The following is a 21,653-nucleotide window of genomic DNA, read 5'->3' as shown; positions in this document are numbered from 1 at the left end:
GATAACTTCTTATGACATTATGATTTTTTTTCAGAATCTGTAAGTATTTCAAATTTTCATACTAAAACTGATTTAAACTTATAATTATTTGTCTCATTTCTGGTAATAAAGATAAATTTACGAAGTCAGCATTATGCATTTGTAAACATGTACAACAGCTGATTTTATGACATAAATCTTGATATCCATTTTAAAGCGATATATGAAACCATAAACTAAATCAAAATACTGAAGTAAAGCTTGTGTATCAATATACAAAATTGTTTTATATATATATATGTATATATGAGTAAAACATTTAAAGAACAACCTCAACAAAGCAATTAAGTTAGGCTTGGTTAGAGGTCTTAATTATATGTCTCGGCTGAGGGAAAAAAACTGACAGAAGATTCAGAGAAAAGAATGTTAAATCTAATAGTTATGGCTACAGTAATTTAAAAAAATAAGCTCCTTAGAAACACAACTACTAACTAAAATTTAATACCTCAGATCTCCCCCAATTACAATTAAAAAGTGTTCATGCCAAGAATAACACTTACCAGTAATACCTTCTTCTAGAAGATCTGTCATTTTGCAACACGATGCCAAAAGCTTAGTGGTAAATTCATCTAAAAGCATTATCTTAAAACAAACACAAATTTAAAAATACTGTAAGCATCCTATTACCAAGAATGAAAAAAAGAATTTTATCCATTAAACTTTATAAGCCTTTTATAACACAAAATATCAGAACAGTAGGCAAAATGATCTCATCTTTTATCTTGCATGAGCTAGAGATTTTCTCAATATACATGCATATAGTATCGTACATAAGTAAACAAACAGAAATATTTCTAATTTGAAACATAGAGCTTATTCATTTTGAATGACACTGTTTAACATCAAATTTTCTTAAAATTACAATTGCCACTTGTAGAACAATTATTGCACAAAGCACTGTTTTAAGTAATTTCCATGGATTAATTCACCTCATATTTACAATTACCATATGAGGTATTACCATCACCATTTTTATAAACAAGGAAATGGGGCAGAGAGAGGTCAAGTAACTTGTGCAAGGAGCCACAGCTATTAAGTGGTGAAGTTAGTATTTGGAGCCAAGCAGTGTGATTCCAGACCCTATATAGTCATCCCTCGGTATCCATGGGGGTTCGAGGACCCCTGTGTATACCAAAAATCCATGGATGCTCAAATCTCTTATATAAAATAGTGTAGTGTTTGCATGTAACCTACACACATCCTCCCACATACGTCAAATTATCTTTAGATTACTTATACTAGAATACCTAATACCATGTAAATACTATGTAGTTTTTATACTGTATTGTTTTTAAAGTTTGTATTATTTTTTATAAGAGCAAGGTATGCAAACTCTACCTTCCATTCGCCTTCTTTCTTGCAGTCATCAAACACTGTTGCTTTTATCTCTGTTTAAAAAAGAAAGGAATTACTTAGGAATTAAATAAACAGAAACATAGTAATCCAAAGGGTCCAAAATGGCTAAGGAAAAATCCAATTTGAAATTTGTTAAACTACATAAAAAGCATACATATTTGTTAAACCTTACGGAAAAATCCAATTCTAATACCTAGCCTATACAGTACATTTAAACTGTAATCAATTTTTTAACTTTAAAAGGTATTATAAAAAGGGTTAATATATTTAAGTACATGAACGTACCGAGAAAATATTTCTAAAATTATTACCTGATTTGGTTTTTCCTATTCTACTTAAATCCCAAGTAAAACAAGATGAAAACAAAAAACCCACGGGAACATCCTTAAGTTGCCCATTGCTAAATTATATCTGATGATCAAATCTGCATAAACATTTTTCATACTGATTTACTACATTATGCTTTTCAACAATACATATCACAGCATTTGGATACCAATATTCAGTCTTGATTTATAATCAATAAATATGTTCCTTACAATGACTTTCAAAATTATCTAAATATGTTTTAAAAATTAGTTCACTGATTTAAAAACATTTTCCATTATGTATTAAATAATTCATGTGGACAATTTATACAAATATCTGTTCTACTTAATAAAACAATTTCCCACACTATGTTTTATTAATGTTCAATTGATTTTAAAATCGGTAGTAATACATAGTAATACATAAAATATAATTAAAATATAAATTATAGTAACCTATTTTTCATTAAATCTTATTAATGAGATGGTTATTTCATTAACTTAAGCTTTTCTATTTCCTAATTTATATTTAAGTTAATGCTTTTGGGAAATTTATCAACAAGTTTTTGGTAACAAGTCATGTTAAAAACTGACGGCTCTTCTATCAGAGGGTATAAATAATAACAGTTACTGTGGTACAATAAAAAATATTTGGTTTTTACCCCCTGTTCCTAGCACAGAGCCCCTAAAGACCTTGGAATCTCCTGAGTGATAGCATCTCTTCCGTCTGCAAATGAAATGACTCTTGGGTGAGGGGCCCCTATACAGCTTTAGATTGAGGGCTGGTCACCAGACCAAGCCATGTTTAGAGGGTTGGAACTTTCAGCCCCACCCCAGGACCTCTGGGAAAGAAGAGGGACTGGAGATTGAGTTCAATCACCAGTGATGTAATCATTCATGCTTATATAATGAAGCCTCCATAAAAACCCCTTAAGAGAGTTTGGAGAGCTCCCAAGGTGGTGAACAAACCATGTGCCAGGAGGGTGAGACACCCAACTCCATGTGGATAGAAGCACCTATGCTTAGGACCTTTTTTGACCTTACCCTATGTACCTCTCCAACCTGGCTGTTCATTTGTATCTTTTGTAATAAACTGGTAATAGTAAGTTAAGCGTTTTCTGAAGTTCTGTGAGCCATTCCAGCAAATTAATGAACCTGAAAGGGAAGGGAGGTTGTAGGAATTCCTGACTTTGTAGCCAAGACAGACAGAAGTGTGGGTAACCTAGGGACTTGGTACTGGCATTTGAAGTGAAGGCAGTATTGTGAGACTGAGCCCTTAAACCTGTGGAGTCTGACACTAACTAGTGTTCCTAGCTAACTAGTTCCTAACTAACTGGATATCCTACAATTCATTTCAATTCTGACACTAATACAGCTGGTGTCCAGAGTTGGAGAACTGGTTGGTGTGAGGGGGGAATAAAACACATATTTGGTGTCAGAAATGTTGTTAGTAAAAGCAATTCAGTTATTTATAGTCATTTTTAGAATTGTGATCTGGAAGGTTGTATTGTGATTGAGAAGATTTGGAAGTGTTATGAAATATCAATTGAGATAATTATATATTGTTTGCTAGGAGGATTATAGTGTTATATGAGAATTATGGTGAAAGTCCGAAATATTTAACCATAATTTAAGCCAAAAGCGCTGGCTTCTAGAACCCTACAGGCAAAAATAAAGGATTTTCTCCGGTAGAGCTCAGATACAGAAATATTATGCTGCTTTTCCTTTCAAAGCTAGCTTCATTCCTTATACCTCAAACAGCTGAAAATTGAAGACATTTGCTTGTTTTTATCAGATTTATTTGTGTCTTTCTCTTAAGAAATGAATGCTCATGGAATTTATGATGGAGCAGATTGGAGAAAAGCTCCCCAAGCAGAAGTCATCTCATTACAGTCTTTGAAACCTTAGAACTGCATTGTCCTAGATGGTGGAAACCAGCCATATCTGGCTATTGAGCACCTGAAATGTGGCTAGTCTGAACTGAGATATCCTGTAAGTACAGAATACATATGAGACTTCAAAAAACCTTAGCACAAAAAAAGGAATGTAAAAAACTTATTAGGTCAAATATAATATATTAATTTTACCTTTTTCTTTTTACCTTTTTATGTGACTACTAGAAAATTTAAAATTACATATGTGCTTTAAATTTCTAATGATAGAACTGTCTTGGAATCTGAAGATACTTGGATCTACCTGTGTCTGCCAGACGAAAAAATAAAAAGAATCTGAAGATACCTACAGAGTCAGTGTTATTGTCTAAAAGAACGAACTAGTTTTATGGAGATAGTAAGGGCACCCATAAAAAGTGACACAGTCACAGGTAGGTATGTTTAGAGAGGAGTCAAAGGAAATCATATCAACAAATACTATAGAACTAAGGAGGTATTTCCTCTAAATACTAATGAAAATCATTTGACCTTATATCCATTTCTCTAGCATCCTAAATATGGATATATCTCAAGACTCAATTCTCTTACTTTTGCTCTGCTTGTTCTCAGAGCAAAGGTAAGAGAATTTGCTCCTGTGGCTGGTCTTCTCAGAGACCATATTCATCATCAAAGTTTCATCTATCATATTAATCTTTCGATTTTCCACAATCTTACAGCCTTTCTCTCTTTGAACTTCATTCAACTACGCAATACAGATACAAGCAGCTACATGTCTCAAGTTGAGATTACAGCACCCTGAAAACTACTCTAGACTTATTTCTCTAAGTATTATTGTCATTTTCTTAGTCATTGTCTTTGTCTATTTCCTCCTTTCCCCACGCCCACCTATTAGGCATATTGATTGTTCTCCCTGGTAGCTATTATTTTTCATTGCTACTGTCACCCAGCATCGACTTGATTCTTCTCTCTCACTGAAGTACTGCAATAGAATCCTATCTGGATTTCCTGCTTTCCACCTCCAACACCTTTGCTATTTCAATCCATTTTTCACACAGCTGTCAGAGTCACCTTCCTGAAATACAACCCTTTGTTTATATTAATACACACCTCGAAATTCCCTCAAATGCTCACTCTTGCTTATAGAATAAAATCTAAACTCTACTATTTAACATCCTCCACTGACTGGCTTCTACCTAATCTCTAAATTAATCTTCCACTAGTCCAAAAGTTACCCAAATAATTTTTGTTTTTGTTTTTTGAGACTGAGTTATGCTCTGTCACCCAGGCTGAATTGAGTGGCATGATCACTGCTCACTGCAGCCTCAACTTCCCAGGCTCCAGCGATCCTCCCACTTCAGCCTCCCGAGTAGCTGGGACCACAGGTGTGCGTTACCACACCTGGCTAATTTTTGTATTTTTGATAGAGAGAGAGTTTCACCATGTTGCTCAGGCTGGTCTCGAACTCCTGAGCTCAAGCAATCCACCTGCTTTGGCCTCCCAAAGTGCTGTAATTACAGGCGTGAGCCACTGTGCCCGGGCTTACGCTAGCTATTTATTTATTTATTTAGACTCAGGGTCTTGCTCTGTCACCCAGGCTGGAGTGCGGTGGCACAATCAATGTCCACTGCAGCCTCAGCCTCCTGGGCTGAAGGGATCCTCCTGCCTCAGCCTCCCATGTAGGTGGGAACACAGGTGCATGTCACCAAACATGGTTAATTTTAAAATTTTTTTGTAGAGATGGGGTCTCACTTTGTTGCCCACTCCTAGGCTCAGGTGATCATCTTGCCCCGGCCTCCCAAAGTGTTGGGATTACAGGCGTGAACCACTGCACCTGGCCATAATTTTTTCTTTTCTTTTCTGCTATCAAAATTTTTTGCCACCTCAAGGTATTTAAAAAGCAATTTAAAATGTTAATTACGAGATTGTGAAGCAACATGAAAAATGTTGAGTCAATGTCAGTTGTTTAAAAAAAAGGAAGTCACAGAATGACAGATAATAAAAACAATGTCTTTATCTGTATGAGGATCAGAAGGAAAATGTGAAAAAGGGAAAAGCTTATGATTCAATATGTAAAGAACTGGCTTAAATACATACATGCGGATGTTAATCACATATATATCTTGGAAATTATACAACACAATTTGTTACCCATTTTCACATAAATGTATTTAAATACCATTGTTTTAAAACATCTCAAATCTTAAGTCAGCCATGTAAATCTTGAAAAAGCAAATGCCAACCTTAAAATTATCTAATCTTTTAAAAGATAATTTCATATTTTTCACCTATTTATACATTTGCTTAGTGCCTGCTATATGTTAAGCACTATCCCAGTTACTGATTTGGATTTTTAATTTTAGACAAGGAACTCTAACTCCCAGAATTCTGCTGACTAAATCATTTGTTTTTTGTTCAACAAGTTGGACTAAGAAATACTAATTAGATGCTACTCCCTTTCCACTACTAGGCCATAATTATCTTGAACTCAGAGATACCAAACAATGATGGTTATTCCTGTTGGGTGGTTTCATTCTTTCTCTAACCTGCCAGACCTAGGTTTGGAGCGATGTTTATGAAAGTTGTGGATGATACCGCAGAACATCAGTAACCAATAAGGAGTCCGGTCCTAACAGCAGGGAGGGGCCCCCGAGAGTAGGGAAAACGGAAGGAGCGGCTCTTGCCCAGGCTATGCAGGAAGATGTCACGGCTGGACACCGGTCATTCCAATGGTCTCTTCTCAAGAACTTTTCAGAAAGTAGGCTCCTCTCGGAATAGGGGAAGATGAGTCTGTTAAACAGTGAGGTTTTTTGAAAAGCACGGGTTGATACTAACACGAATAAGCAGAATAAACAGTCCTTGCAAACTCCAGTGTGGGGTGGAGATGGGGGCGGAATAAACAGCGCCCGAATTGTCTCGGATGGAGAGACATCCCCAACTGGTGGAGCGCGGACGGGAGCGGAGAAGAGTGGGGAGCGCGGCCGAGGGCACGCACGGGCTCCGCGGGAGGGAAAGCCGGGCCGGGCGGCTCACCCGGGGCGGAGCTTCGCGGCCAGAGCGCGGCCGAGGCGAGGGGGTGCCCGACGCCAACGAGAAGGCCGCGTCCCGTCGCACCCCGCCCATCCCTGGTGCTGGCAAGGAATAAGGCAGGGCAGGAAAGCAGGAAGAAGTCCTCACACAGGTCCCAAAGCAACAAGTGCTCGCGGCGGCTCCTCAACAGACCGCTGGGTTGGGGCTGCAAAACGAGGCCCGGCACGGCAGCCTCCCGGCCTTCCCTCTCTCAACCCCTACCCCACCGCACTCACTCTGCCACACGACGCTCTTTAGCCCCCTCTCTGCCACCGGCGGCGCCATCTTCCCGACACTGCGGAGCAGCAGCCACCACCTTCCACTCCCAACCTACTTTGGCCGCAGAAGCGGCGTTGGGGTGGCCCCGCCCCTTGCTGCAGGGGAATGCCCCACCCCCTCTAGCAGACCGCGCCCTCCGGTGACGTCACGCGCGTCAGCAAGGGAATTTCCGCCCACTCCCGGACGGAGGCTGCGCAGTACAGGTGGAACCTCCGTGGGAAGTCGGGAGCCCCCTAGCGGGAGGCTGCTGTCGCCCGAGGTTCGACGTCCTGTGGCCTAGGAACGCGAAGTGCCAAACCGATCGTGAGCCAAGGCCGTCTATGAAATTCCGAGTTCACACATACACGAAGACTGGAGGATCCTCCCCATTACAGAAGAACCCTTCACTTCGCAAGGCGATTCATAATAGACTTCACTCAGTAGCCAGCCCAACTACCCAATGGAAAATGTACTGTCCCCAAATGATTATTTCATTCATTTTTTCAAGGACACAGTAATTGCGTAGAACTGTGAGGTTCCCTCCAGTGTGCCAAGAACTGTGCTGGACTTTTAGGAAACTCAAAGAAATGAGAGATCAACTCTTTCCCCTGAATAATTTACAATCTAATTAAAGAGCACAATTCCTGGAATGCTGCAGGTAGTTAAAACTTAGTTTAAAAATTGAATGCCTTAATGATAAGATATACATAAATGAACCAACAAAAGAATAATCATTTATTAACAAATTTATGCAACAAATGTAGGGAGGGCCTGTTAATGCTTCAGAATCTACAATTATTGTTGAAAGTTGATTCACAGAGGAGGAGATCTGAGCTCAGAAAGTTTAGGTAGAGATCTGTTTACTGAGATGGTTCCTTTGGGACTTTAAATCAAAGTAATCAAACGTAAGTGAGATCAGTTTAGTTGCTAAGAGCCCTAACTGTGAGATAACCATGTGACATTGGCAGAAAGTAGGCTTTCCTAGAAGGATTTGCAAAGAACCAGTGGCTGTAAAGATTCAAATTGGTCACACAGGGAAGTAGAAGTGGTTAGATACTACTACTAATAATAATGTCTAATATTTACTGAGTGCTTACTTACCATATGCCAGGCACCATGCTAAGTAGATTACCTCACTGATCCTCAAAGCAACACTTACAACAAGGAAACTGAGGCTTAATGAAGTCAAGTAACTTGCCAAGGATGCACTTAGTGGTGGAGTGGGAACAAAGATCAGGCTTGGGCTACATGGAAAGCAATAGAGTAGTCTGTGGGGTAACCTGCAATTTTTAGGAGAGGAAAGGCAAATGAAGAATTAAGAACAGGCTGGGCATGGTGGCTCACACCTGTAATCCCAGCACTTTGGGAGGCCTAGGCAGGAGGACTGATAGAGGCCAGGAGTTTAAGACCAGCCTGGGCAACATAGCAAGACTGCTGTCTCCACCAAAAAAAAAAAAAAAATTAATAAAAAAGTTAGCTGGGCATGATGGCGCATGCTACCTGCAAGCTGAGGAGTCGTAGCTACTTGCGAGGCTGACGTAGGACGACTGCTTGAGCCTGGGAGTTCCAGGCTGCAGTGAGCTATGATCATGCAACTGTACTCCAGTTTGGGGAACAGAATGAGACCCTGTATCTAACAATAAAAAAGGCCATAAAATGGGTTCTGGCACAACCTATGGCTGAGTGGTTTTTCTGTTCAAGGCTTATATGAGAATAGAAGCTGGAGCCCTGACCTCCTTTAAACCTACTCTAAATTGATTCAGTTGCTCAATGTTTTAAACAAGTGCACATATGATTTCCCTCTCCCTTTTCATTTTAAGTTAGGTTCTGCTTAGTTTAGCAGGGTGAAGCCCCAATCCATAAGAAAAATATGTGCCAGGGAAAATTCACCCTTCTGAGGTGAAGCCCCTTGCTCTGAAGAGCCAAACCAAGAGGGAAGAGTGAGATGGGTGAGGTGCCTCCATCTCTTACCCTTCAGGAGAATGACCAGGTGCCAGGGAATAATACAGGTCCCTCTGGGTTGGAAGTTTGACTCTGGTCACATGGGGTGCAGTTCTGGCTCATGCTCCTGAAGGCCAGAGTCCTTGGTGGCACTGCGGAATAGTGGAGCAAGCATGGTCTTTAACTGCACGTAGGCATAGGTTTACATCCTACAAAATCTGGCTCTGCCTCTTACTAGCAGTGTGACCTCAAACACCTCAGTTTCATTGCACCTGTGTGCTGAATATGAATATATTATCTCAAACCTCGCAACAGCCCAGCAAGATGACCATTGCCATTTTACATATGAGAAAACTGAGTCTCAGGGAGGTTAAATAAATCATGAAAAATCTCAAAATGAGCTAGGATCTGGATCCATCTGGCTCCAAGGCCATTGCTCTTTCTAGTGTACCAAATTGCCTATCCTCCCAGGCTCCCCTAGATTTGCATAAGCTCCCTAAGCAGTTTCTCTACGTCTCCTCTAGTTTGCTTGCCTAAACAAATTGAAAAATGAACTTGGATTCCCTAAATGTGACACAGCAAAGTAGAAGGTAAAATCTGCTAACACTGGCCAGGGATGAAAAGCTGCTTTGTATAATTCAGAGCAGGTAAATGGCCAAAATAACCGAGGGTTGAATGTACACGCACTTGAGTTAGGGCAGATCACTCACTCACTATCCTATTCCCAGATCTCCTCTAATAAGCGATCACTTATTCATAATAATCTAGAGAAATATTTTCCATAAAGATATCATGGGAGGCCGGGCGCGGTGGCTCACGCCTGTAATCCCAGCACTTTGGGAGGCAGAGGCGGGTGGATCACAAGGTCAAGAGATCGAGACCATCCTGGCCAACATGGTGAAACCCCGTCTCTATTGAAAGTATAAAATTAGCTGGGCGTGGTGGCGGGTGCCTGTAGTCCCAGCTACTCGGGAGGCTGAGGCAGGAGAATCGCTTGAACCCAGGAGGTGGTGGTTGCAGTGAGCTGGGATCACGCCATTGCACTCCAGCCTGGGCGACAGAGCAAGACGCCATCTCAAAAAAACAAAAACAACAACAACAACAAAAAAAAACAAAAGATATCATGGGTACCTAACATAAAGATATGATAAATGCTTGAGGTAATGGATGCCCCAATTACCCTGATTTGATCATTATACATTGTATACCTGTATCAAAATGTGACATGTACCCCATAAATATATACAACTATTATGTACCCATAATAATTAAAATTAAAATTTTAACTGAAAGATAGCATGAATTAGCAGGTCTAACCAATGCTACTTACTTCTCTCCCTGAAACTTTGTGTTTGAACTGATTAGCCGTGTGAACATGGGTGGGCTACTTGACCTTTCTGGGCCCGTTTTTCCCTACCTGTATAAAGGAGATAATGTTATTACTTAGCTTGTAGGGTTGTTATGAGAATAAAACGAGCATATGGAGAGCACTTACAAGCTGGTAGTTTGTGCTATATACACGTTAAATAACCTAATTTTATCTTTACCCACTGTGGATCACATTTTCTTCTGTGACATTCTGACCAAAACAATTCAGCCTTAGGTGCCTAGCTAGGCAGATGGCTATTTCACTTTCTGTGCCTTGGTATTTGTAGGGTATTAGGTGTGCTCTCTGATGCTTCCAATTCCATTTTTAGAGATATATACCTTTGGCTTGTCTCTGTTCATGTACAGATGTTCTGGGGAAGATCTCTTATTAGTGACCCATTACGTATCTCTGATCAGTCTCATAGAGAAAGCATATCACTTCTCTCTTGCAGCGCACGTTGATAGGAAGTTGAGAGAACAGAAAGGGAAGTTTGTTCTTTCTTCCATGCTTAGTTCGAGCCTAATTCCATGGTCCAATTCCCCCTGGGCAGAGTTTTATGGTTGTTCCTAACTAGAGACATGCTTGGCTCCATAGCCATGTGTTTGGGGAGCAAGCACTATAACTGTGTGTGTGCATGTGCGTGTGTGTGTTATACAAGTCTACTCACATGTTTTAAATTAGGTTACTGATATTTGAAGGACAAACTTTTTTAGGTATGAGAGATTTATGTTATATTTCATTGCCTTCCCCCTCCAAAGATGAAAAAAGTAATTACAATATGAGTGGGGGATATGGCCAATAAGATGGATGGTCCTCCCCCAAAAGATGCACGCATGTCAGTCGGCCACAGTTTGAGGCTCTCCATTTGACATCTTCTCTCATGCAGAAAGCATAACTGCAACCCTTCTAGCAACAGGCTGGCAGCTCTGCTTTCCCAGATGCTCCCATAGATGTCACGCCACCTGATGCTTTGGCTCAGCGAACCCTGCAAGCAGCTCAGCTTTGCTCCTAACTTGCGATGAGGGCGTTTGTTATCTCAGGTTGCCCTGGCAGCTACTGCTTTCCAACCTATACTGAAGTCCTGCTGGAGGTTTGTCTTGGGATAAGTGCTGTCTGCATGTGGGTGGCTTGACTTTCTGGGAGTGAACATTTCCAGCCCCTGAGGGGGCTGCAGACAAGTGCTGTTGTAAAACACTCATGAAGTGGATGTGTTGAAGTCTGTGGTGTGTGTGGATGTGAAATCTCAGAATTTCTGCTAAGCAGAACTTTCTTGTTTCCAGGGTTCTCACAGTGTGCCAACTCAGGCTAGCAGCCGTCCAGGGGACTTTCTGGATTCATTTCTCTCCAGAGTCCTCACATAGCAGATCTCCAACTGCTGTGCAGGTGAGGACACACCTGACCTTGCCCTCAGGAAGCAGAGTCAGAGTTGTTCTTCTAAAGGCCAAAGGAGCTTTTCCTATCCTAGAGGCATTTTTATTCTACATTCTAGTAGATCTTTTCCATCTCTAATCACTAACAAATGAGACAACTCTGCAAGACAAATGGGAAAACATTTTAAACAAAGACAAAAAACTTTGCCATAAAATCACACAAAATCAATTTACGTTACTCACTTGGTCAAGTTTTTGTTTTTATCTGGGGCTCACTTTGTCATTCTTCATTTCTCTTCCCTCTATAAATCACTGAAAAGGGTAAGGAAGGGAAGCAGTAAAAGATGCATTCAATATGCAGACATTTTCTTAAAAAGCACCAGTGTCTGAGATTTTATGTGTATGTTGATTTGAAATGCTATTTTTGCAGCACTTCACGGCAAGTAAACATGAAACTATGACAACTGACAAAGTGTTCAAACTGATCAGCAGTTTCTAACCAGAGCAGTCTCTCTCCTGCTTCACCAAATGAACCCTCCCAGAGTCTCTTTAATCCCAGACCACTGGTTCAAAACAAAAGGACTTTCCTTTTCACCCCCAGGCCAACTTGCTGTGCTCCTCAGGGAACTCCAAAATTTTAATGACTCAGGGAGTTTTATATGGAAAACATAAACCTGTTTAGCTGCTAAGTATGTCACAGAGAGGAAGCTTCCTCAAAGTTGCCCAGGATGTACAGGTGACACTGAAACATGTTGGGTCCTAAAGATGAAGGAACACCCCCAGCCCCTGCTCATGGTGTGATGTCAGGCACAAACCCCTCCCATCTATCTACCTCTTGTTAGAGCCGCTATCACCTCAAATAGGTTTTTTTTTTCCTTTCCCTTCCAACTTGCATCAAATTTCCAGCATTGAAATAGCTTTCTTGAATTAAAGCCATGCTTTTTGTACTTTAGCATCCATCAGAAGCACTTTGAGGGCTTGTTGAAACAAAGAAGGCTGGGCCCTAGCCCCAGAATTTCTGATTCAATAGGTCTGTGGAAGAGTCTGAAAAATTGCATTTCTAAGAGGTTCCCAGCTGATGCTGATACTTTTGGCACCAGGACCACACTTAGAGAATCAATGAGGAAGTGTATTATGAGGACCAAGGTTAAAATGCAAATGTCTTCGTTAGAAGTAGCACATTAAAATGTTAATAATTGGTACATAATAGAATGTGATATGAGCTTAAACTGAATATGAATTAACAACTACCATTTATTAAGTAGTTGTTATGAGCCTATTATTGTGTCCAATAATTTACATTCTCATTTAATCCTGATTTTCTTTTATGAGGGATTATTATTTACTCTAATTTTCAGATGAGGAAACCTAGGCTCAGAGAGAATTTACACAACTTGACTAAGAGCAAGTGATGGTGGCAGGATTTGAATCCAGATCTCTCTTAAAAAGTCTGTTTATGGCCGGTGCGGTGGCTCACGCCTGTAATCCCAGCACTTCGGGAGGCCAAGGCAGGTGGATCGCATGAGTCTAGGAGTTCAAGACCAGCCTGGCCAACATAGTGAAACCCCATCTCTGCTAAAAATACAAAAATTAGCCAAGTGTGGTGGCGCACATCTGTAATCCCAGCTACTAAAGTGGCTGAGGCGCGAGAATCGCTTGAATCCCAGAGGTGGAGGTTGCAGTGAGCTGAGATTGCACCACTGCACTCCAGCCTGGATGACAGAGCAAAACTCCATCTCAAAAAAAAAAAAAAAAAAAAAAAAAAAGTTTGAAAAGCTTTAGGATACTCCAAGAGTCAAAGAAAACCCAAAGAAAACCTTAGACCAGCAAGATTCCCATGGCTCCCCTCAGCATATCCAGAGGCTCCAATGTCAGCCCAGGGACCTGATTGGACTTGCTCTGTGTTTGGGGAGGGGAAATGCTGAAATTGAAGACAGCAATTTAGAATTTCCCCCTAGATATAATGACTTCCATATGACCTTAGAAACCCTCAAATAATCTGGCTTACTCTTGTTTTTGGAGGGCCTTGCGGGATTTTTTTTTTTTTTTTTTTTTAGAGAGATGGCGTTGAGGGCAGGGGGCTCTCACTATGTTGCCAAGGTCGGCCTCAAACCCCTGGGCTCAAGTGATTCTCTACCTCAGCCTCCTGAATAGTTGGGACTACAGGTGTGTGACACTGTGTCTGGCTCCTACAGGATTTCTACAAATATCTACTTCAAGAGAGTAGCAGATTTCAGGCTAAAGACTGAGCCCTGGCTAAGGAAGGGAATGGTGAAGATAAGCTGAAGCCTAGAAGGACAGAAAAGAGGACATTAGTGATCTAAAGCAGTGCTCCTCAAACTTCATGTGTATCAAAATCACCTGGGAACCTGATGGAAATATAGAGGCACTTCACTAGGCCAGGACCTGGGCCTCTGCATTCATTATTAACTGTCCAGGAGATTCTAATACACAGCAGAGTTTAAGAGCAGTACCTAAGCAGTGCTACTCAAACTTGAATACATGCACGAATCACCTGGGGATTTAGTAGGTCAGGATGGGGCCCAAGACTGTACATTTCTAAAAAGCTCTCTGGTGATGCTGGTGTCTCACTCTGTCACCCAGGCTGGAGCGCAGTGGTGCTATCATAGCTCACTGCAGCCTTGAATTCCCAGCCTCAAGCAATCTTCTCACCTCACCCTCCCAAGTAGCTGGGACTACAGGGGAACTACAGGCACATGCCACCATGCCTGGCTACTTTATTTACACTTTGTAGAGACAAGGTCTCGTTTTGTTGGCCAGGCTGGTCTCCAACTCCAGGGCTCAAGCAATCCTGCTTTGGTCTCCCAAAGTGCTGAGATTACAGGCGTGAGCCACCATGCCTGCTCTCCTTGCCACCCCACCTTTTGTGTTTTTTGTTAAAACATAGACATTCTTTCTTTTCAAACATTTTTAAATTTTTTTTTTTACATTTTTACATTTTTATTTTTTTTGTTTTTATTTGAAACCCTTCCTTGAACAAAATCATAGGCAAGGCCAATATATCATACACCACTCCTCTCCCCTGGGGACCTAGGACACTTCTACCACACCTCTATGTCTCAGGGAGATACTGATTAAAGAATGCAGACCTAGGTCCATGTACCTTTCACTGAAGACCAGGGTGTATGGTCTCTACTACTTTGGGAGACTTTTTTATAATTAGAAGTGTCCTCACAGTTTGTTTTCAGTAAGCCAAGTCTGTTCCTTTTTGTAGTCATAGAAAACAAAAACTCTTGAAAAATTAATAAGGATTGTGCTTATTTCAGACCTGCAGGTGGGACAGGAATTGAAAAGTGTGTAACCTGCTGTGCTCAGAGAAGCAATAGACTGGGAGAGGAAGGGAGCCCAGGCAGAGAACAGGGAGTGGAGACTCTAGACCCAGTTCCTGCCAGTGGAAGGGGGTGTGGGTGGGGAGCCAGCCCCGACTGGAAGGCTGTCCAGTGGGGTTTACGGGCAAGAAGGCTTCATTTACACTCACACCATTCAAAATCAGCCATGTCTGAATGGGGAGGGGTGGGGTGGGGGTGGGCGGGAGAGAAGTTCTGTAGTTTGGGGTTGATAATATTCCCAGGGGATTTTTTCCTAAGGCCCCAGACCAAGCTGTCCCCTAAAAGGCTGTGGCAAGGACTCCTCATGAGGCAGCATACACTGCTTACTGGGTCAACACTCATGGCTCCATTTGCTCATCTCCACTGCCCTGCCAAGAGTCATCTCTGTGGGGGCAACCAAAATAGCCTAGACAAGATCATCCCTGAGCAAAACCAAGGAGGCAGTGAGGGTTCTCTTTATTCCAACTGCCCTTTCAGCACCCTCTCTCTCCACGGGGTATACCCACTCATGCAAACCAGGAGCAAACATCGTAGCTCTCTGCAGGCCGTTAACAGATTCTCTCTAACTCCTGGCTACTCCATGTGTGGTCAGACCAGCAGCCTCGGCATCGCCAGCATCACCTGGACCTTATGGAAATACGGAGTCTCAGACACTTCCTACACCGACCAAATCAGAATCTGGCTTTAACGAGGCCCCAGGTGATGTGTGTGCACAATAAAGTTTGAGAAGCACGGCTCTAAAGTAGCAGTTCTTAGCCTTGGCTATACTTCAGAATCACCTGAAGAGCTTTTACAACTCCTGATGCCCAGCTCTCACCCCAGACCCATTAAATCAAACTTTCTGGGGACAGAACCAGACATCAGTTAATTTTAAGCTCTCCAGGTGACTCCAGTGTACAGCTGAGCTGGGAATCACTTTCTGAAGTGTGAGGGATGAAGCCGCTGCCCCTCCCAAAACTATTTACATTTTCCTGTAGGATCCTAGAATACTAAAAAGACTTCAGAATTCAAAGAAATTCATCTCAACTGGTGGAATCTCAGAGGAGGCACTATAATGGGGAGAAAAAGTCATGGGATAAGAGAGCAGGAGCCCCTTGTATCAAAGAAAGAAAGCATTTGCTTTCTAATTGAAAAGTCAGCTGACTTCATTAACCCCAAAATGGAGCAACAAAAATCCTGTTCTATTTTATCCATGAGAAAAATGACTTACCCATTCCAAGTGTACTTCCAGAGCAAGTTACTGTAATAAAAACACAAGCATTTAAAATAAAATCTATTCATTTATGTATTTAAGATAGTGAAGATTTAACTTAAGAAAGAATAAAAGGAAAGTAAACCAAAAAACGAACAAGAACGAACTTGGGTGATAAGAGAAGGAGATACTACTAGCAGTATGACCTGGGCAAGTCACTTTACTGTGCCTCAATTTATCTGAAAAGCAGTAAGAATAAGCATACCAAGCTCAGCTGGGCGCAGTGACTCACACCTGTAATCCCAGCACTTTGGGAGGCCCAGGTGGGCAGATACCTGAGGTCAGGAGTTCAAGACCGGCCTGGCCAACATGGCGAAACCCCCATCTCTACCAAAAAATACAAAAATTAGCCGGGCATGGTAGTTGTGCACACCTGTAATCCCAGCTACTCAGGAGGCTGAGGAGGAGAATCACTTGAACCTGGGGAGCGGAGTTTGCAGTGAGCTGAGATTGCGCCATTGCACTCCAGCCTGGGTGACAGAGCAAGGCTCCATCTCAAAAAAAAAAAAAAAAAAAAAAGAATGCCAAGCTGATAGGTTTGTTGTAAGGACTGAGTTAATATATGTAAACCCCTTAGAACAGTGCCTGGCACATGGCATTCAATAAACATTAGTCGTTATTGTCATTTACAATATTGTCCTGATTATCAGAATAAGACATCACTGATACTGCAAACAAACAAAACCAAAAAACATCTCCCAAATGTATGGCTTTTACCAGGGACACTGAGCAAAGGAGGATTTCCTAACTTGAGTCTAGATACCTAATGTTACTAAGCTGAAATGGCTACAGGCTTGAGATGGCATCCCATCAAAGAACTTGAGTTCTAACTCACAAGGACTTCTGGTGGCTAACCAGCCCTCAGAGGAATGACTCTCTAAGGGTGAAATTGTGGGCATGGAGCAGGAGAAAGAACAAAAGACTTCCATCACTCACTTAGCTGTATATTCATTGATTCATTCTTTTTTAAATTTCAAATATATCAGGCAACAGTTACGTGCTACGTACTGGGAGTCAAATAGATAATCATTTATTAGGAGAAAAGCACACATTCAATTCACAGTAATATGTTGCAGTACAGATAAGGGTGCTGTGGGGTCATAAAGGAGGGAGAGAGAGAGGGCTAACTCTGCTTATGATAATTGGAGAAGGCTTCACAGACAAGGAAAATTGGGGCCAGTAGAGTTCTCTTGGTGGAAGTGGGGTGGAATTCCGGGCAAAGAGAAGAGCACTGCAGTAGCTCCAGAACATGACATAGAATAGGAGGTGTGTGTGGCCGAAGCAGGCACACGTTAATGATGCCAGATGCCTAGACTAGAGAATAGAGTCCTCTCAGGACGGATGTTGTGGAATGAGCCTAGAATTTCTCTGTTCAGGCTGGGCACAGTGGCTTATGCCTGTAATCTCAGCTCTTTGGGAGGCTGCGGCGAGAGGATTGCTTGAGCCCGGGAGTTCAAGACCAGCCTGGGCAACAAAGCAAGACCTTGTCTCTACAAAAAAATTTTAAAAATTAGCCAAGCATGGTGGGGCATGCCTATAGTCCCAGCTACTTGGGAGGCTGAGGCAGGAGGATTGCTTGAGCCCAGGAGGTCAAGGCTGCATTGAGCAGTGATTGCACCACTGAACTCTAGCCTGGATGAAAAAGCAAGACCCTTTCTCAATAAAAAACAAACAAAAAAACCCCACAAAAAAAAACAATTTCTCTGTCCAGTACAGTGGACACTGAAGTAGCTATTGAACATATGGCTAGTTTGAACTAAATGTACTATAAGTACAAAAGACACACCAGATTTCAAAGACAGTATGAAAAATGTACAAAATATCTATTAATAATTTTTATATTGATTAGATGTTGAAATGATAATATTTTGGATATATTGGGTTAACTAAAATATATTATGAAATTAATTTCACCTCTTTTTACTTTTTTAATATGGCTACTAGAAAATTTAATTTTTCATGCATGGTGCATATTAAATTTCTATTGAACAGTGCAGGTATAAGTAGACAGGGGACAGATTATAAGGGACTGTGAACACCATGCCCAGAGGATTGAATGTTATCTTATGGGGAAATGGAAAAGTTTTGAAGATGTGGCAGCATAAAAGTAACACAATTGGACCAGTGTCCTGGAATGATAACTCTGGTAGCATTACAGAGGCTGGAGTGAGGACAGGGAGATGGGACTGGTGCAGTAGTCTAGGGGAGAGGTGGTGAGGGCCTGAGGCATAGCAGTAGCTGTGGGAATGAAGAGAAGACTCGGGATTTAGGAACCATCATGAAGGTGACCAGGACGAGAATTCGAGATTACTTAGATATGGAGGGTGAGGGAGACAGAAGCTGACTCCAGGGTTTTTAGCTAATGTACCTGAAACAAGGACGATGGGAGGAAGATCAGAAACAGCAGAGGATCAGGAGTTCCTTTTGCCCCTGAGGGGTTTGAAATGCCTGGGCACCTCCAGGTGGAGGTATCAAATTTGAATACGGACTTAGGGGTCAGGAGAAGAGAAGAGTTGTAGATAGAGATTTGGGAGCCTCTGAGCTTCAGTTTTCTCATTTACAAAGTGGAGATAATGAAATATGTTGAGCCTATAGCATAGCATATTTTGAGCATTTGATGAGATTTGTGATATGAAACCACTGGATAAATTATAAAATATTATGCAGTTATGATGCAGTATTGTTATTGAGCTGTAGACTCATCTTCCTAAGAGCTCATCCTGACACCAGGAACCTATTCCTGTCCCTTCCCATAGGGCTATGCTTTGGGCCAGCTTGTCCTGTGGACCAAATAATGGAAAAACAAGGAATCAGAGCATGACAGCCAGGGACAATGAGAACAGCCCCTTGGGAGGAACTGTCCTCCTTCCATCACCAAGGGCCATCCTGAACCTCCTGTCACCTACATATCATTCAAAATTTTAGATTCTGGCTATCAGTAAGGGCTTGTGAGCCAATATTTATTCTTTTTTTCTGTGTTCACCTGCAAAATTCTAGGGCTTCATCATCTCTTTTCTTCTAGGAATACATGAAAAATATATGACTGTGCCCTGGGCAAGGTAGCAGAAGGTGCTGGAACACAGAGCGGAGAATTGCTAATGTTTTCCTGCCAGCTCTGGTGAGATGGTAGTTGCTGACAGCCATGCTTTGTGATCACAGATTGTCTGCCCACTCATATTGCCAAGCCTAGCTTGTGATTTATAAATTTATTTTTTCTGATCCTCTAACTTTTCCTCAGTCATAATTCTCAGTCTGTGCAAATAAAAGTTCAAGTTTCCTAATTTCCAACATCCCAGGATGTCTATCATTATCAGCAAGACTATGTTAAAAAATCTATCCCTAAATCTCAAAGCAGAAAATTATCTTAAATTTGCTTTACTAATTAAGCAGCAAGCATCTAGTCCTTTTTAGGAAGGGGAAGAGTGGGACAGAGAAGATAATCTCTAAATTAAATAAAGCATCACAATTCCAAAGAATCTTGGGGTCTTCCACAGCCAGAATCTGCCTGTGCTGTGTAGAAATTTTATACCCTTGACTGGGTGCAGTGGTTCATGCCTGTAATCCCAGCACTTTGGGAGGCTGAGGCAGGAGGATCACCTGAGGTCAGGAGTTCATGACCAGCCTGGCCAATATGCTGAAGCCCCGTCTCTACAAAAATACAAAAATTACTCAGGTATGATGCCAGGTGCCTGTAATCGCAGCTACTTGGGAGGCTGAGGCAGGAGAATTGCTTGACCCTGGGAGGTGGAGGTTGCAGTGAGCCAAGATCATGCCATTGCACTCCAGCCTGGGCGACAGAGTGAGACTGTCTCAAAAAAAAAAAAAAAAAAAAAGAAAGAAATTTTATACCCTCTGTGCCCTTCATACATAGTAAATAAGTTTGATTGCATCTTAATTCACAGATATGAGTTCAGGGTTAGTTTTAGATAAACTGTCATAACTTGCTTTACCTGAATATATTTTTTTTGGACAGAAAGTAAGCTTCAATCCTGTTTTAGCAACTGGTGAGACCATCACAGTGTATACATCCCCACAGGGTATCTCAGTGACATCACAGAAACTGAGGCCAGCACTCGGGGTGCACGTGAAAATGCCTTTGGAGCCATAGAGGTCAGTGCTGTAATTGGCAGAGCCCCTGGAGGCTTGCCAGTAGATCCGGATGCCATTAGGGCCCAGCCTATATAATTTCACCCCCAAAGGGCAGCAGGCACCTAGGCAATAAAAATAACAAACACAAAATCACTTGTTTTATTCCACCATCATCCAAAAATGGCCTTGATTACTGCAGGGAAAAAATATAAGCAAACTAGTCTAAGTAACAGGATTAATTACTGGTTAGATCAGAGCAAGATTTGAAGGGGTACTCGAGTTATTTCCATGGTGGGCCACATAATCAGAAATCCATGGGTGGCTGGGCATGATGGCTTATGCCTATAATCTGAGTACTTTGGGAGGCCAAGGCAGGAGGATCGCTTAAGCCCAGGAGTTTGAGACCAGCCTAGGCAACATAGGGAGACCCTGACTCTACAAAAAAAAAAAAAAAAAAATTAGCCAGTTGTGGTGGTGCACACCTGTGGTCCCCTTGGGAGGATGAGGCAGGAGGATGGCTTAAGGCCAGGAGTTCAAGGCTGCTGTGAGCTATGATTGTGCCACAGCACTCACTCCAGCCTAGGTGACAGAGCGAGATCCTGTCTAAAAAAAAGAAAGAAAAAGAAAGAAAGACAGACAGAAAGAAAGAAAGAAAAAAGAGAAAAGAGAGGGAGGGAGGGAAAGAAAGAAAGAGAGAGAGAGAGAAATCCATGTGTGAAGGTGGTGTGCAGTATGAATTTTTAATACAGAACAATGGTGAGTCAGAAAGGTCCAAAAATTGGCAGATACATATTGTACATGATTCAAACTGTGAGTCAAAGGCACAGAATCCTTGTCAAGATCCCTCATAATGCCCTAGTTTTATTTGATTTTGGTGGCATTAAACTTAAATATAATTAACTGCATTCAGCCTTAATTGAAGAACCAATTTTGCCGAGATGAGTAGTATGACACTTTAGGTGCAGCCATTTATACAACATGCCAGTGACCAAGTTTGCTGGTCCACGCTTCATCCATGGTAGCTGATTAGTATTTTTTTTTTTTTTTTTTTTGAGACGGAGTCTCGCTCTGTTGCCCAGGCTGGTCGGCTCACTGCAAACTCCGCCTCCCGGGTTCACGCCATTCTCCGGCCTCAGCCTCCCGAGTAGCTGGGACTACAGGCGCCCGCCACCACGCCTGGCTATTTTTTTGTATTTTTAGTAGAGACGGGGTTTCACCATGTTATCCAGGATGGTCTTGATCTCCTGACCTCGTGATCCGCCTGCCTCGGCCTCCCAAAGTGCTGGGATTACAGGCATGAGCCACCGCGCCAGGCCACTGATTAGTATTTTTTTCCTTTTCTAAATACCTTGAGCAAGCCACA

At 41.8% G+C, this 21,653-nt stretch overlaps 2 protein-coding genes across 2 annotated transcripts in view, besides 3 other annotated features; both read right to left on the bottom strand.

Moving 5' to 3' along the window:
• STXBP3 (syntaxin binding protein 3) overlaps nucleotides 1-7,010 on the bottom strand; it is a 62,850-nt gene extending 55,840 nt beyond the window's left edge. The window contains exons 1-3 of the mRNA NM_007269.4: nucleotides 6,898-7,010; nucleotides 1,378-1,427; nucleotides 540-621 (exon numbers count right to left, since the gene is read on the bottom strand). Of these exons, the coding sequence (NP_009200.2) occupies nucleotides 540-621; nucleotides 1,378-1,427; nucleotides 6,898-6,946 (181 nt within the window). The 5' untranslated portion in view covers nucleotides 6,947-7,010. The remainder of the gene's footprint in view (nucleotides 1-539; nucleotides 622-1,377; nucleotides 1,428-6,897) is intronic.
• Nucleotides 6,509-6,628: a silencer, noted in NCBI's record as "silent region_1137". NCBI's record gives its function as "represses an Ori minimal core promoter by ATAC-STARR-seq in GM12878 lymphoblastoid cells {active_cell/tissue: GM12878}" and the evidence as "EXISTENCE:reporter gene assay evidence [ECO:0000049][PMID:35858748]".
• Nucleotides 6,761-7,331: an enhancer, noted in NCBI's record as "H3K27ac hESC enhancer chr1:109288975-109289545 (GRCh37/hg19 assembly coordinates)". NCBI's record gives its function as "activates a minimal SCP1, AML or CMV promoter by ChIP-STARR-seq in naive and primed H9 embryonic stem cells {active_cell/tissue: H9 hESC(naive and primed)}" and the evidence as "EXISTENCE:reporter gene assay evidence [ECO:0000049][PMID:30033119]".
• Nucleotides 6,829-7,238: an enhancer, noted in NCBI's record as "active region_1430". NCBI's record gives its function as "activates an Ori minimal core promoter by ATAC-STARR-seq in GM12878 lymphoblastoid cells {active_cell/tissue: GM12878}" and the evidence as "EXISTENCE:reporter gene assay evidence [ECO:0000049][PMID:35858748]".
• The window catches only part of FNDC7 (fibronectin type III domain containing 7), a 29,842-nt gene continuing 19,123 nt past the window's right edge, over nucleotides 10,935-21,653 (bottom strand). The window contains exons 10-13 of the mRNA NM_001144937.3: nucleotides 20,152-20,412; nucleotides 16,160-16,189; nucleotides 11,843-11,911; nucleotides 10,935-11,759 (exon numbers count right to left, since the gene is read on the bottom strand). Coding sequence (NP_001138409.1) covers nucleotides 11,880-11,911; nucleotides 16,160-16,189; nucleotides 20,152-20,412 — 323 coding nt within the window. The 3' untranslated portion in view covers nucleotides 10,935-11,759; nucleotides 11,843-11,879. The remainder of the gene's footprint in view (nucleotides 11,760-11,842; nucleotides 11,912-16,159; nucleotides 16,190-20,151; nucleotides 20,413-21,653) is intronic.

This window comes from Homo sapiens, chromosome 1, assembly GCF_000001405.40.
Source record: "Homo sapiens chromosome 1, GRCh38.p14 Primary Assembly".
NCBI lineage: Eukaryota > Metazoa > Chordata > Mammalia > Primates > Hominidae > Homo > Homo sapiens.
This window is presented reverse-complemented; position numbering and strand designations above follow the sequence as displayed.